A 15,051-nucleotide genomic window follows, 5' to 3' on the forward strand; every position below is an offset into this window, starting at 1 on the left:
CTACTAAAAATACAAAAGTTAGCCGGGTGTGGTGGCGTGTGCCTGTAATCCCAGCTACTTGGGGGGACTGAGGCAGGAGAATTGCTTGAACCTGGGAGGCGGAGGTTGCAGTGAGTCGAGATCACTCCGCTACATCCCAGCCTGGGCCACAGAGTGAGACTCCATCTCAAAAATACATATATATATATTCAACGAAAAAAAGAGATGGGAGAATAGGTGACACGAGACTAGTTGTTTTGCTTGATAATTGAAACTAGCTGGTGATGGGTGTAAAGGGTTTGTCATATAGTTCTCTCTTCTTTTGTGTATGTTTAAAACTTTTCTTTTGAAGAAGGAAGAAAAAATAAGCTAACGTCATAAGTAGGAGAACTTGGTGGGTGGAGTCCAAGGTGGTCCTAAGCAGAGGTGACCCCCATACTCCTGGGGAGATGGTTAAGTAGGGCAGAGATTCGCATGCAGCAGTCACCTGCATTTGTGATGGGCCCTTTGTGTACCAAACAGGGAGCAACTAATATTTTTGAGCATAAACTCTGTGCCAAGCACTTTACATGTGATATCTCAATTTTTTATTTTTTTATTTTATTATTTTTTTTTAGACAGGGTCTCGCTCTGTCACCCAGGCTGCAGTGCAGTGGTGCAATCTCAGCTCACTGCAATCTCTGCCTTCTGGGTTCAAGCAATTCCTGTGTCTCAGCCTCAAGAGTAGCTGGAACTACATGCACGTGCCACCACCCCCAGCTAATTTTTTTGTATTTTTAGTAGAGGCAGGGTTTCACCATGTTGGCCAGGCTGGTCTCGAACTCCTGACCTCAAGTGTTCCACCTGCATCAGCCTCCCAAAGTGCTGGGAGTACAAGCGTGAGCCACCATGCTCAGCCTGTGGTATCTCAGTTTAATCTTTTCTTTTTTTGTGTGTGAGATGGAGTCCCGCTCTCTCTCCCAGGCTGGAGTGCAGTGGCGCGATCTTGGCTCACTGCAACCTCCACCTCCCAGGTTCAAGCAATTCTCCTGCCTCAGCCTCCCAAGTAGCTGGGATTACAGATGCCTGCCACCATGCTTGGCTAATTTTTGTATTTTTAGTACAGACAGAGTTTCACCATCTTGTCCATGCTAGTCTTGAACTCCTGACCTCGTGATCCACCGACCTTAGCCTCCCAAAGTGCTGGGATTACAGGTGTGAGCCACCGCGCCCCCACCCTGTCAGTTTAATCTTAACCCTGGGATAGGTGATTTCTTTTTCCTTTTTCTTTTTTTTTAATTTATTTATTTTATTATTATTATTATTATTATTATTTTTTTTTTTTTTTTTTTTTTTTTTTTTTTGCGATGGAATCTCACTCTGTGGCCCAGGCTGAAGTGCAGTGGCATGATCTTGGCTCACTGCAACCTCCGCTTCCCGGGTTCAAGTGATTCTCCTGCCTCAGCCTCCTGAGTAGTTGGGTTTACAGGTTCCCGCCACCATAATTTCTTTTTTCTTTTTCTTTTTCTCTTTATTCTTTTGTTGTTGTTGTTCAGACAGAGGCTTACTCTGTGGCCCAGGCTGGAGTGCAGTGGCACAATCTTGGCTCACTGCAACCTCCACCTCCCAAGTTCACGTGATTCTCCTGCCTCAGCCTCCTAAGTAGCTGGGATTACAGGCTCCTGCCACCACGCCCAGCTAATTTTTGTATTTTTAGTGCAGACAGGGTTTCACTATGTTGGCCAAGCTGGTCTCGAACTCCTGGATTCAAGTGATCTTCCCGCGTTGGCCTCCCAAAGTGCTGGGATTATAGGCATGAGTCGCTGCACCTGGCCTTTATTCTTTTTTTTTTTTTTTTTTTTTTTTTTTTTTTTTTTTAAGACGGAGTCTCACTCAGCTGCTTAGGCTGAGGTGCAGTGGTGTGATCTCGGCTCACTGCAACCAGCGTCTCCCAGGTTCAAGCAATTTTCCCTTCTCAGCCTCTTAAGTAGCTGGGATTACAGGCACCCATCATCATGCCTGGCTAAGTTTTGTATTTTTAGTAGAGACGGGGTTTCACCATGTTGTCCAGGCTGGTCTCGAACTCCTGACCTCAGGTGCTCTGCCCACCTTGGCCTCCGAAGGTGCTAGGATTACAGGCATATGCCACTGCGCCCGGCCTATTCTTTTTCTAGTGGCAAATGAGGAAACAGAGGTTCATGGGGCTCAACCCACCCAAGTTTACATATGAGAGTTTAAGGGCAGAGTCAGGATTCAAACCAAGGTCTTCGTGAAACTCTGGGTGTCTCCAGCATTCCACATTGCTTAGCACCAAGGGAAGGATAAATGGAGCTACCTCCAGGTTGTCTAGAAAGGCACAGGGAAGAGAAGACCAACAAGACACATGAAGCAATTAGCCCCTGCAGGTGACATAAAAGCAAGGGCTAAGAGGCAGGCTATGGAGAAACAGTGAGAATCCAGCACAGTGCCTGGCTCAGGGCAGAAACTTCGTCAGCAGACGGTGAATGACTGTACAGGGGCACACCTGAGTGAATTAATGAATCTGGAGAGCTAAGGGAGGAAAGTAGACACTGCGGAGGAAATGAAATCCTTCCAAGGCCTCTCAAGCTGTTCTGGGCTGGGGAGGAGCAAGGGGGCCAGGGATTTGAGGCAGAGTTGCCAGAAGGCAGAAGGGTGGGTAGTCTAAGAGCCCTTTGTGGTTGTCCCTGCCCAGATCACACACAGATTCTGTCCCCAAGTGCCTCTGTCCCATCCCTAGGGTCTGGCTCTGGCTGGCCCATTCACAAAACACAGGGCCCACAGGGCAGAATTGCAGGGAAGGAGAGGTGGGGCAGCCTGGAAGAAAAGTCTCCTTCAGTGGCCATGCCTGGCCCCATCCCCAGTGCCCTCCGGCCCTGAGGTCTACCCCGCTGTCAGCAGCTCACAGCTGTGCCCGGAGGGGTGGACTGGCACAAGCCGGGCCTCAGCTCCCGCTTAGGCGTGCACTGCCAAGTCCCACTCTGCAGCACAGCCATCCATGCTGCCGCAGACACATGTCAGCTCTGCCCCGTTGCCAGAGATTTTTGGTTTGACGTAGCCGGCCTCCTCTTTTTTTCTTAATGCAGCAGAGGGTGCCCGTGAGGCCCAGAAACTGAAGGAAGCTGCTTGCCTGTCTCACTTGGTCTCACATTAGGTCCAGAAGCTCCTATTTTGGGGGCATCTGAGGCAAGAAGTGGATCCAGAAGATCTGTTTCTATCCAGAATTCAGCAAAGAGAAACTACGTATCCAGACTTAGAACAGTCTTCATCCAACTCAGCCCCCCAGGACCAAGGGTCAGGAGGAGCTAGATCAAGGGTGAGGGGCAGTAGCAGGCAGAGCCAAGGCAAGAGAGGGGGAGAGCTACCCCGGAACTTCCCCACAACCCACTTGGGCCTCCAGACACCCATCTGCTCCGAAAGAGTAAGCCTTCCCCAGGAGCCAGTGAAAGTCTGGGAAGCAGCAGCTCTAAGAGGTGTTTTGCCGAATGAAGACACCAGTGTCAAAGATGTGCTTTTTTAGGAGTGAAGCCCTGTGGTTTTGGCATTTGTGCCCAGGGTTATTTATCAGTGAAGGTTTTATTAGACAGCTCTCAATTACCTACCCTGCTGGGAGAAGCAGTGTTACAGATAATTCAAAGGAAGGTAGTTTCCTTTTACCTTTGGAATGCCTCGTTGAGGCTATAGAGAGCCTCCCTAGTTATTTACCTTACAGCCTCACTTTTCAAAGTGTGGTCCCCAGGCCAGCATCATGGGTGTCACCTGGGAGTCTGTGAGAAAGGCAGTGCTACAGGCCCCACCCCAGTCCCAAGGAATCCAAATCTGCATTTTTTTTTTTTTTCTTTTTGGTTTTTGTTTGAGACGGAGTCTCACTCTGTCGCCCAGGCTGGAGCACAGTGGCGCAATCTTGGCTCACTGCAAGCTCCGGCTTCTGGGTTCATGCCATTCTCTTGCCTCAGCCTCCTGGGTAGCTGGGACTACAGGCGCCCACCACCACACCCGGCTAATTTTTTTGTATTTTTAGTAGAGACGGGGTTTCACCATGTTACCAGGATGGTCTCGATCTCCTGACCTTGTGATCCACCCGCCTCGGCCTCCCAAAGTGCTGGGATTACAGGTGTGAGCCACTATGCCTGGCCCGAATCTGCATTTTTAACAAGATCTCCAGGTGATTCTTGAGCATATTAAAGCTTGAGAAGCACTGCCTTCAGCCAATATCAAAAGGTTTGCATACCCTGAGCAAGGGGCCATTAGAAGCCAGGTTTGGGGGTTCAGGGAGAGGGGAGTAGGAAGCAGGAACAAACCTCGGATGAAATGCTGGCCTCTGGTGATCTGCAGAGCACATAGCAGTCTGTTCATGAGCTGCGAGGTAGGGATGCCTCTCTTCTCTGCCCCACACGCTTCTGAAGCCCTTCCTTACCAGGCAAGGTTTCTCTAACCCCGCATGCAGCTTCACATCTCTGTCTTTGCCTTCGCCGTTTTCCCTGTAGGAATGCCCTTTGTCTCTTGCCTGCTCATCAAGCTCATGGTCTTTCTTCAAAAATGTGCTCCAAAGTCACCTACTTCTGCTCTAAATACCTCTTCTCTCTGCTCCTGTGACCCTGGGTACATTCACTCATTTATCAATCAGATCTCTCATAGAACAAACTCAAATATCTATGGAACAGCCCCTATGTGCTAGACAGTCAGCTAGGAGCTAGAGACCAAGAAATGAATGAGATACAGCTCACCCTTGGAGAGCTCACATTCTAGAGAGGGAGATAAATGCATACACTCACAATACAGCACGGTGAGTGCAGTCCCATCTACTGGAGACATAGGAACCCAGGGACACCTTATATTGAACTAACAGGAGTCAACGAGTATTTTTATTGGTTACTTACCCATCTGACCTCCCCAGCTAGACTGTAGTTCTTTAAGTACTGAGATTGCGTCTTATTCTTCTGAGCATGCACTGGGCCTCTACTGGTCCTTGAGCAGATGAAAATGAGTGAATATCTACTTTGCATCTGGAGAAGGGGCAGAAATTCCATCAGCCTGACTTCCCCAGTCAAGATGTGGTAGAATTGGGAATGGGAGCCAGGTCCAGCCGCAATCTGTGCATGCTGTTCCCCTCCACTCCCTAGGAATTTTACTCGACAAGGGATTGTCCCCCTTGGGGTCAAATGCTACAAGGGTCACAGAAAAGACCTAAAGCAGATTTTTTTTTTGTCCTCAAACTTCGCCCAGGCTGGGGTGCAGTGGCAAGATCAGGGTTCACTGCAACCTTCACCTCCCAGGCTCAAGCGATTCTTGTGCCTCAGCCTCCAGGGTAGCTGAGACTATAGCTCTGTGCCACCACACCTGGCTAATTTTTGTATTTTTAGTGGAGACAGGGTTTCACCATGTTGGCCAGGCTGTTCTCAATCTCCTGACCTCAAGTGATCCACCCGCCTCGGCCTCCCAAAGTGTTGGGATTACAGGCATGTGCCACCGTGCCTGGCCTAAAGCAGAATTTCTAAGAGTTTGAGATCTCTAAGAGAAAATAAAGTATCACACCCATGAAACAATTAGAAGACAAGGAAAGACAAAAGTAGATCAAGTGCAGAGACATCTAGGAAGAGGTGAGAAGCAGGAGATCACCCAGGCGGGTGATCTAAAGCAGGGCATTGAAGGAATGTTGATGTGGGGAGGCAAGAAGGAAAGGAAAGTGTCATCCCAGGCAAGAGTACACCAATAGCAGGAAAGACAACAATGCATGGAGCAGAGGGTTCCTGTTGTGAAAAAAAAATGAGGCATGCAACATCACTAATCACCAGGGAAATGCAAATTAAAACCACAATGAGATACCATCTTACTCCCGCAAGAATGGCCATAATTAAATACTTAAAAAACAGTAGATATTGGTGTGGATGCAGTGAAAAGGGAACACTTTTACACTGCTGATGGGAATGTAAATTAGTACAACCACTATAGAAAACAGTGTGGAGATTCCTTAAAGAACTAAAAGTAGGCCGGGTGTGGTGGCTCACACCTGTAATCCCAGCATTTTGGGAGGCCGAGGCATGCGGATCACCTGGGGTCAAGAGTTCAAGACCAGCCTGCCCAACATGGCAAAATCCCGTTTCTACTAAAAATACAAAAAATTAGCCGAGCGTGGTGGCAGGCACCTGTAATCCCAGCTACTCAGGAGGGTGAGGCAGGAGAATTGCTTGAACCTGGGAGGCAGAGGTTACAGTGAGTCAAGATCACGCCGCTGCACTTCAGTCTGGGTGACAAGAGTGAAACTCCATCTCAAAAAAAAAAGAGAACTAAAAGTAGAACTACCATTCAATCCAGCAATCCCACTACTGGGTATCTACCCAAAGGAAAGGAAGTCATTATATGGAAAAGACACATGCACGTGCATGTTTATAGTAGCACAATTCACAACTGCAAAGATATGGAACCAACAGAAGTGCCCATCCACCAATGAGTGGATAAAGAAAATGTGGTGTATATACACACCATGGAATACTACTTGGCCATAGAAAGGGATGAAGTAATGTCTTTTGCAGCAACTTGGATGGAGCTGGAGGCCGTTATTCTAAGTGAAGTAACTCAGGAATGGAAAACCAAATATGGTATGCTCTCACTTATAAGTGTGAGCTAAGCTATGAGAACTCAAAGGTGTAAGAGTGATGTAATGGACTTTGGGCACTCTGGAGGGAGGCTGTGAGGAGGCTGAGGATAAAAGACTACATATTGAGTACAGTGTACACTGCTCAGGTGATGGGTGCCCTAAAATCTCAGAAATCACCACTAAAGAACTTATCCATGTAACCAAAAACCACCGGTTCTACAAAAACTATTGAAATAAAAAAAAAACATTAAAACTTTTTTTTTTTTTTGAGATGGAGTTTCGCTCTTGTTGCCCAGGCTGGAGTGCAATGGCATGACCTTGGCTCACTGCAACCTCTGCCTCCCAGGTTCAAGCAACTCTCCTGCCTCAGCCTCCCGAGTAGCTGGGATTACAGAGGCTCACCACCATGCCCGGCTAATTTGTTGTATTTTTAGTAGAGATGGGGGGGTTTCTCCATGTTGGCCAGGCTGGTCTCGAACTCCTGACCTCAGGTGATCCACCAGCCTGGACTTCCCAAAGTGCTGGGATTACAGGCATGAGCCACCGCACCTGGCCTAAAACTATTTTTTTTTAATGAAGTATAGATGGGCAGACAAGATGGCACCAGCACACAGAAGGCCATGAACATACAAGACAGAGTTCACACAGCTTTGAAAGATCTCAGACAGGTAAATCACTATGGCTTGCACCATCTACGAAATGAGAAAGTTCTCAGCTTTCTGAGAAAACTTTAAGTTCCCTTATTTTTTGAAGAAGAGATGTTCTGGTAGTTGGGTTTTACAGAAGTGGTCACGGATTGCCTGACCTCCCTAGACCACATCTGCAAACTAGCTGGCCAGGACAGAAGGTCAGTGGTCCTGGGAAACTTTGTTTATGCTGAATTAAGAGGATAACTGCAACCTAGGGCTCTGCAGCTCTAAATAACTGAGCTAACTCAGTGGCTCCCTCCAACCACACACAAACAGAGCTAGTGTTTTATGAAGGAAAATGGCCAATTACCAACAGACAGGTGAGCATACCGACTAGTCAAAAGGGAGAAAAGGACACTGGTTGGGGGCAACCAGGAAGAGACAACTAAAGGGCTGGTAGAAGGCTGCAGCCTTTTGTGTGTGTGTGTGTGTGTGACTGAGTTTCGCTCTTGTTGCCCAGACTGGAGTGCAATGGCGCAATCTCGGCTCACCGCAACCTCCACCTTCCGAGTTAAAGCAATTCTTCTGCCTCAGCCTCCTGAGTAGCTGGGATTACAGGCATGCGCCACCACACCCAGCTAATTTTGTATTTTTAGTAGAGACAGGGTTTCTCCATGTTGGTCAGGCTGGTCTCAAACTCCCAACCTCAGGTGATCCGCCCAACTTGGCCTCCCAAAATGCTGGGATTACAGGCGTGAGCCACCACGCCTGGCCGACAAAAGGCTGCAGCCTTTTGAAGGAGACTCAGCTCATCTTCTACCGATCCCCAGTGGACAAGCAGAACTGTTTTCAGTTGCGATAGCCAAATTCTGAAGCTGCTAGGTTCTCCATTATTCATGAGTAGCTCCGCTCCCTCCAGCCTTGGGGCTGCTTTCTGTTGGCAAAGGCCTGTGTACTTCTGCAAACCTTAAAATATGAGAGCATCTGATGTTCCAGGGATCTAAAATACTGCAAATTCAGGTAACAAAACTGCTTTCCAAAGGCTCTACTACAGGGATCTTCAGTAGCTTTCCAGTCCTTCAAAATCTGTCTCCTCAGAGCTATACAAAGCCTTGGCCTAAGCTCAGCTTCCTAACTCAGTCTTTCTTCGGATAGGAAGAGGGATTTACGGATTTTGGTAAAGCGCTTTTTGTCCGTAGAAATCAAAATTAAGAGATGGGGACTGAATCACCAGAAGATATTGTCCATCCCTATTGTTAATTGTGTTATTAAGATTGAATAGCAAAGATTGACTAGCATTAAATAGAAGATAAAATAACCTATTTCTGAGTGGGTTCTTCATTTCTGAGTGACGTTAAGAAGATACATCTACCTGGAAAAACACATTTGAAGGAAAGGGAGGGCTCAGGCCAGGCACTATCCCCTATACTACCTCATTCAGTCCTTGCAAAACAAACAAACTAACAAACTTCTGTGAGTCTCCATTTTACATATAAGGAAAACAGCCTCAAAGGATTTAAACACACTTTGCAATATTGAAGAGGAAGAGGCAGCCAGGATTTGAACCAGGACTATTTGATCTTGAAGCCCATTCCCTACACAATTTCCCTTCATGTTCCTGGGTGTAATGGACAAACCACCTCTAGCAGAAGGGCTGAGAGAGAAGCCGGTCTCTTTCCCAGTCCCCTGTAGGGCTGCTTCGGCTTTAGGCGAAATTCGTGTTTGACAACTGTGGACTTCCACCCTCAACCTTGGCTCCATGCCTGTGGATAAGAAGGTTTGTAGGGAAGAAGACTTGGAGCAGAGATGTGGGCTTCCTCTTCCTCCCCCTCAGTCACAACTGCCGAACCCAGAATGGAAGCCAATCTCTGAATGAATCAAATTTGAATTTGGGCACACCTACACTTTCACGGTCCAAGTGCCTGCTGAGGATCATGTGGCTAACCTGTCCAGCCCATCCTCCTGCTCTTACCCTAATTATTTTCTTAGACCCTGAGCAACAGATGTAAAATCACCATCCACCCACCTAACTCTGTATCCTGAAGGCCATCTTCCAATGCACACAATATTTGAGGAAGTGGAAAAGGGTCCCTTATTCCAGGAGAGAAGTTACTTAATAGCCCAGAAATGAAACCACTTCCTCTCCATGAACACTCCAGATATAATAAAGTCCTCTTCCCCCTCTACTTGTCTCACCAATATGTGTCCCTGGTATGTCTGGGACAGGATACTGCCTTCAATACCCATATGGAAAACCCTGACATAACTCCTCATCAAGAGCTGGCAGATAGGAAGGAAGAATTTAATGATGCTTATCCATGTCTAAACTAGAACATAACCTGTGTGTTATGAGAGGATCCTAATGTTTGGAGAGTTGGGGGAAATCATTAAAAATGTAGCCCCACCAGCCGCAGTGGTTCATACCTGTAATCCTAGCACTTTGGGAGGCCGAGGCAGGTGGATTGCCTGAGCTTGGGAGTTCAAGACCAGCCTGGGAAGCATGGTGAAACCCCGTCTCTACTAAAAATACAAAAAATTAGCCGGGCATGGCAGTGTGTGCCTGTAATCCCTGTAATCGCCTGTAATACTTGGGAGGCTGAGACAAGAGAATCACTTGAACCTGGGAGGCAGAGGTTGCAGTGAGCCGTAATAGCACCATTGCACTCCAGCCTGGGTGACAGAGCGAGACTCCGTCTCAAAAAAGGAAAAAAAAAATGTAGCCCCATTTAAGACTGGATCAGAAATCAGAAAAACAGAAAAGACCTCCTCTTTATCTGGCCCTGCATGGCTAAATATGAAGAAAGGGTTGCAGAGAATAAGAAAGAGTCTGTAGCAGTCAAGGAAAGGAGACCAGAGCTGAACCCAGGCTGGTCCGCAGAGGCTGGAAGTTGTTCAGAACCAAAGGATATTCTTTAGTTTCTTCTTTTCCTTCCTCTTCCCTTTCCCTTCCTTTCCTCTTTCTTATTTTGAGACAGGATCTTAGCCTGTTGCCCAGGCTGGAGTGGAGTGCAGTGGCGCAATCATATCTCACTGCAGCTTCTAACTCCTGGGCTTGAGTGATCTTCCTACCTTAGCCTCCTGAGTAGCTGGGACCAAAGGCATGCACCTCCACACCTAGCTAATCAATTTTATTTATTTTATTTTATTTTATTTTACTTTATTTTATTGAGATGAGGGTCTCACCATGTTGCCCAGACTGGTCTTGAACTCCTGGCCTCAAGTGATCCTCCCCTTCAGCCTCCCAAAGTGCTGGGATTACAAGCATGAGACACTGCACCCAACCCCAAAGGATTTTTTTTTCAATAGGTTTTTGGGGAACAGGTGGTGTTTGGTTACATGAGTAAGTTCTTCAGTGGTGATTTCTGAGATATTGATGCACCCATCACCTGAGCAGTGTACACTGTACCCAGTGTGTAGTCTTTTATCCCTTACCTCCCCACCCTTTCTGAGTCCTCAGAGTTTATTGTATCATTCTTATGCCTTTGCATCCTCATAGCTTAGCTCCCACTTATAGGTGAGAACATACGATGTTTGATTTTCCATTCGTGAGTTACTTGACTTAGAATAATGTTCTCCAGTTCCATCCAGATTGCTGCAAATGGCATTATTTCATTCCTTTTTATGGCTGAGTAGTATTCCATGGTATATATATATACCATATTTATTTTCTTCTTTGCATCCTCATAGCTTAGCTCCCACTTAGCTCCCATTCCCAAACATATGAGGTTTGGTTTTCCATTCCTGAGTTACTTGACTTAGAATAATGTTCTCCAGTTCCATCCAGGTTGCTGCAAATGGCATTATTTCATTCCTTTTTATGGCTGAGTAGTATTCCATGATGTGTATATATATATATATATATACCATATTTATTTTCTTTAACCACTCATTGATTGATGGGCAATTGGGCTGATTCCATATTTTTGCAATTGCGAATTGTGCTGCTATAAACATGCATGGGGAGGCATCTTTTTTCTTCTTTTTTCAAGACAGAGTCTTGCTCTGTCACCCAGGCTGGAGTGCAGTGGTGTGATCTCAGATCACAACCTCCATCTCCCAGGTTCAAGCAATTCTCCTGCCTCAGCCTCTCAAGCAGCTGGGATTACAGACATGTGCCACTACACCCAGCTAATTTTTGTATTTTTGGTAGAGACAGGGTTTCACCATGTTGGCAAGGCTGGTCTTGAACTCCTGACCTCGTGATCCACCTGCCTTGGCCTCCCAAAATGCTGAGATTACAGACGTGAGCCACCATGCCCAGCCTATCTTTTTCATATAATGACTTCTTTTCCTCTGGGCAAATACCCAGTAGTGGGATTGCTGGATCAAATGGTAGATCTATTTTTAGTTCTTTAAGGAATCTCCACACTGTTTTCCATCATGGTTGTACTAGTTGACATTCCCACCAACCTTGTAAAAGTGTTCCCTTTTCACCACATCCATGCCAACATCTAAAATTTAAAATTAAAAAAAATTTTTTTTTATTATGACTGTTCTTGCAGGAGTGAGGTGGTATGGCATAGTGGTTTTGATTTGCATTTCCTGATAATTAGTGATGTTGAGCATTTTTTCGTATGTTTCTTGGCCATTTGTATATCTTCTTTTGAGAATTGTCTATTCATGTCCTTAGCCCACTAATTTATGGGTTTGTTTGTTTTATTCTTGCTGATTTATTTGAGTTCCTTGTAGATTCTGGATATTATAATAGTCCTTTGTTGGATATACAGATTGCAAAGATTTTCTCCCACTCTGTGGGTTGTCTGTTTACTCTGCTGATTATTTCTTTTGCTGTGCAAAAGCTTTTTAGTTTAATTAAATCCCATCTATTTATCTTTGTTTTTGTTGCATTTGCTTTTGGGTTCTTGGTCATGAAGTCTTTGCCTAACCCAATGTCTAGAAGGGTTTTTCTAATGTTATCTCCTAGAATTTTTATGGAGCCAGGTCTTAGATTTAAGTCTTTGATCTATCTGAAGTTGATTTTTGTATAGGAGAGAGATGAGGATCCAGCTTCATTCTTCTACATGTGGCTTGCCATTTATCCCGGCACCATTTGTTGAATAGGGTGTCCTTTCCCCACTTCATATTTTTGTTTGCTTTATCACACATCAGTTGACTTGTAAGTATTTGGCTATATTTCTGGGTTCTCTATTCTGTTCCATTGGTCTATATGCCTATTTTTATACCAGTACCATGCTGTTTTGATGACTGGCTTTATAGTATAGTTTGAAGTTGGGGAATGTAATGCCTCCAGATTTGCTCTTTTTGCTTAATCTTGCTTTGGCTATGCAAGCTGTTTTTTGGTTCCATTTGAATTTTGGGATAGTTTTTTCTATTTCTGTGAAGAATGGTGGAGGTATTTTGATGGGAGTTGCATTGAATTTGTAGATTGCTTTTGGCAGTGGTATTGTTTGACTCTGTGTCCCATCCAAATCTCATCTTGAATTGTACTCCCATAATTCCCACATGTTGTATGAGGGACCCAGTGAAAGACGATTTGAATCGTGGGGGCAGTTTCCCTCATACTCTTCTCATGGTAGTGAATAAGTTTCATGAGATCTGATGGTTTTATCAGGGGTTTCTGCTCTTGCATCTTCCTCATTTTCTCTTGCTGCCCCCATGTAAGAAGTGCCTTTTGCCTCCCATCATGATTCAGAGGCCTCCCCAGCCATGTGGAACTGTAGGTCCAATTTTTCTTCCCAGTCTCGGGTATGTCTTTATCAGCAGTGTGAAAACGAACTAATGGCCGGGCACGGTGGCTCACGCCTGTAATCCCAGTACTTTGGGAGGCCAAGGAGAGTGGATCACAAGGTCAGGAGATCAAGTCCAACCCGGCTTACGTGGTGAAAGCCCGTCTCTACTAAAAATACAAAAAATTAGCCAGGCATGGTGGCGCACACCTGTAGTCCCACCTACTCGGGAGGCTGAGGCAGGAGAATGACATGAACCCAGGAGGCGGAGTTTGCAGTGAGCCGAGATCACGCTACTGCACTCCAGCCTGGGTGACAGAGCAAGACTCCGTCTCAAAAAAAAAAAAAAAAAAGAAAACCAACTAATACAGTAAACTGGTACCCATTGAGTGGGGCACTGCTGAAAAGATACCTGAAAATGCGGAAGGTACTTTGGAACTGGGTAACAGGCAGAGGTGGCAACAGTTTGGAGGGCTCAGAAGAAGACAGGAAAATGTGGGTAAGTTTGGGACTTCCTAGAGACTTGCTGAATGGCTTTGAGCAAAAGCCTGATGACAATATAGACAATAAGGTCCAGGCTGAGGCGGTCTCAGATGGAGATGAGGAACTTGTTGGGAACCGGAGCAAAGGTGACTCTTGTTATGTTTTAGCAAACAGACTGGTGGCATTTTGCCCCTGCCCTAGAGATTTGTGGAACTTTGAACTGAAGAGAGGTGATTTAGGGTATCTGGCAGAAGAAATTTCTAAGCAGCAAAGCATTCAAGAGGTGACTTGGGTGCTGCTAAAGGCATTCAGTTTTATAAGGGAAGCAGAGCATAAAAGTTCAGAAAATTTGCAGCCTGATAATGTGATAGAAAAGAAAAACCCATTTTCTGAGAAGAAATTTAAGCTGGCTGCAGAAATTTGCATAAGTAACAAGTTGCTGAGTGTTAATCCCTAAGACAATGGGGAAAATGTCTCCAGGGCATGTCAGAGGTCTTCACAGCAGCCCCTCCCATCACAGGCCAGAAGGCCTAGGAGAAAATGGTTTCATGGGCCAGGCCCAGTGTCCCCGCGCTGTGTGCAGCCTAGGGACTTGGTGCCCTGCATCCCAGCCACTCCAGCCATGGCTGAAAGGGGCCACCATAGAGCTCAGGCCATGACTTCAGAGGGTGCAAGTCCCAAGCTTTGGCAGCTTCCATGTGGTGTTGAGCCTGCGAGTGCGCAGAAGTCAAGAACTGGGGTTTGGGAACCTCTGCCTAGATTTTAGAAGATGTGTGGAAATGCCTGGATGCCCAGGCAAAAGTTTGCTACAGGGGCGGGGCCCTCATGGAGAACCTCTGCTAGGGCAGTGCAGAAGGGAAATGTGAGATCAGAGCCCCCATACAGAGTCCCTACTGGGGCACTGCCTAGTGGAGCTGTGAGAAGAGGGCTACCATCCTCCAGACCCCAGAATGGTAGATCCACCAACAGCTTGCACCGTTCACCTGGAAAAGCTGCAGACACTCACTGCCAGCCCATGAAAACAGCCAGGAAGGAGGCTGTACCCTGCAAAGCCACAGGGCAGAGCTGCCGAAGACCATGGGAACCCACTTCTTGCATCAGTGTGACCTGGATGTGAGACCTGGAGTCAAAGGAGATCATTTTTGAAGCTCTAAATTTTGACTGCCTTGCTGGATTTCAGACTTGCATGGGCCCTGTAACCACTTTGTTTTGGCCAATTTCTCCCATTTGGAATGGCTGTATTTACCCAATACCTTTTACCCCCATTGTATGTTGGAAGTAACCAGCTTGCTTTTGATTTCACAGGCTCATAGGTGGAAGGGACTTGCCTTATTTCAGATGAGACTTTGGACTGTAGACTTTGGGTTAATGCTGAAATGAGTTAAGACTTTTGGGGGCTGTTGGGAAGGCATGATTTGTTTTGAAATGTGAGGACATGAGATTTGGAAGGGCCAGAGGTGGAATGATATGGTTTGGTTCTGTGTACCCACCCAAATATCATCTTAAAGTATTATTATTATTATTATTTTGAGATGGAGTCTCGCTCTGTTGCCCAGTGTGGAGTGCAGTGGTGCAATCTCAGCTCACTGCAAGCTCTGCCTTCCGGGTTCATGCCATTCTCCTGCCTCACCCTCCCGAGTAGCTGGGACTACAGGCGCCCGCCACCATGCCCGGCTAA

This window comes from Homo sapiens, chromosome 11 (assembly GCF_000001405.40).
Source record: "Homo sapiens chromosome 11, GRCh38.p14 Primary Assembly".
In the NCBI taxonomy this organism is placed as follows: Eukaryota; Metazoa; Chordata; class Mammalia; order Primates; family Hominidae; genus Homo; species Homo sapiens.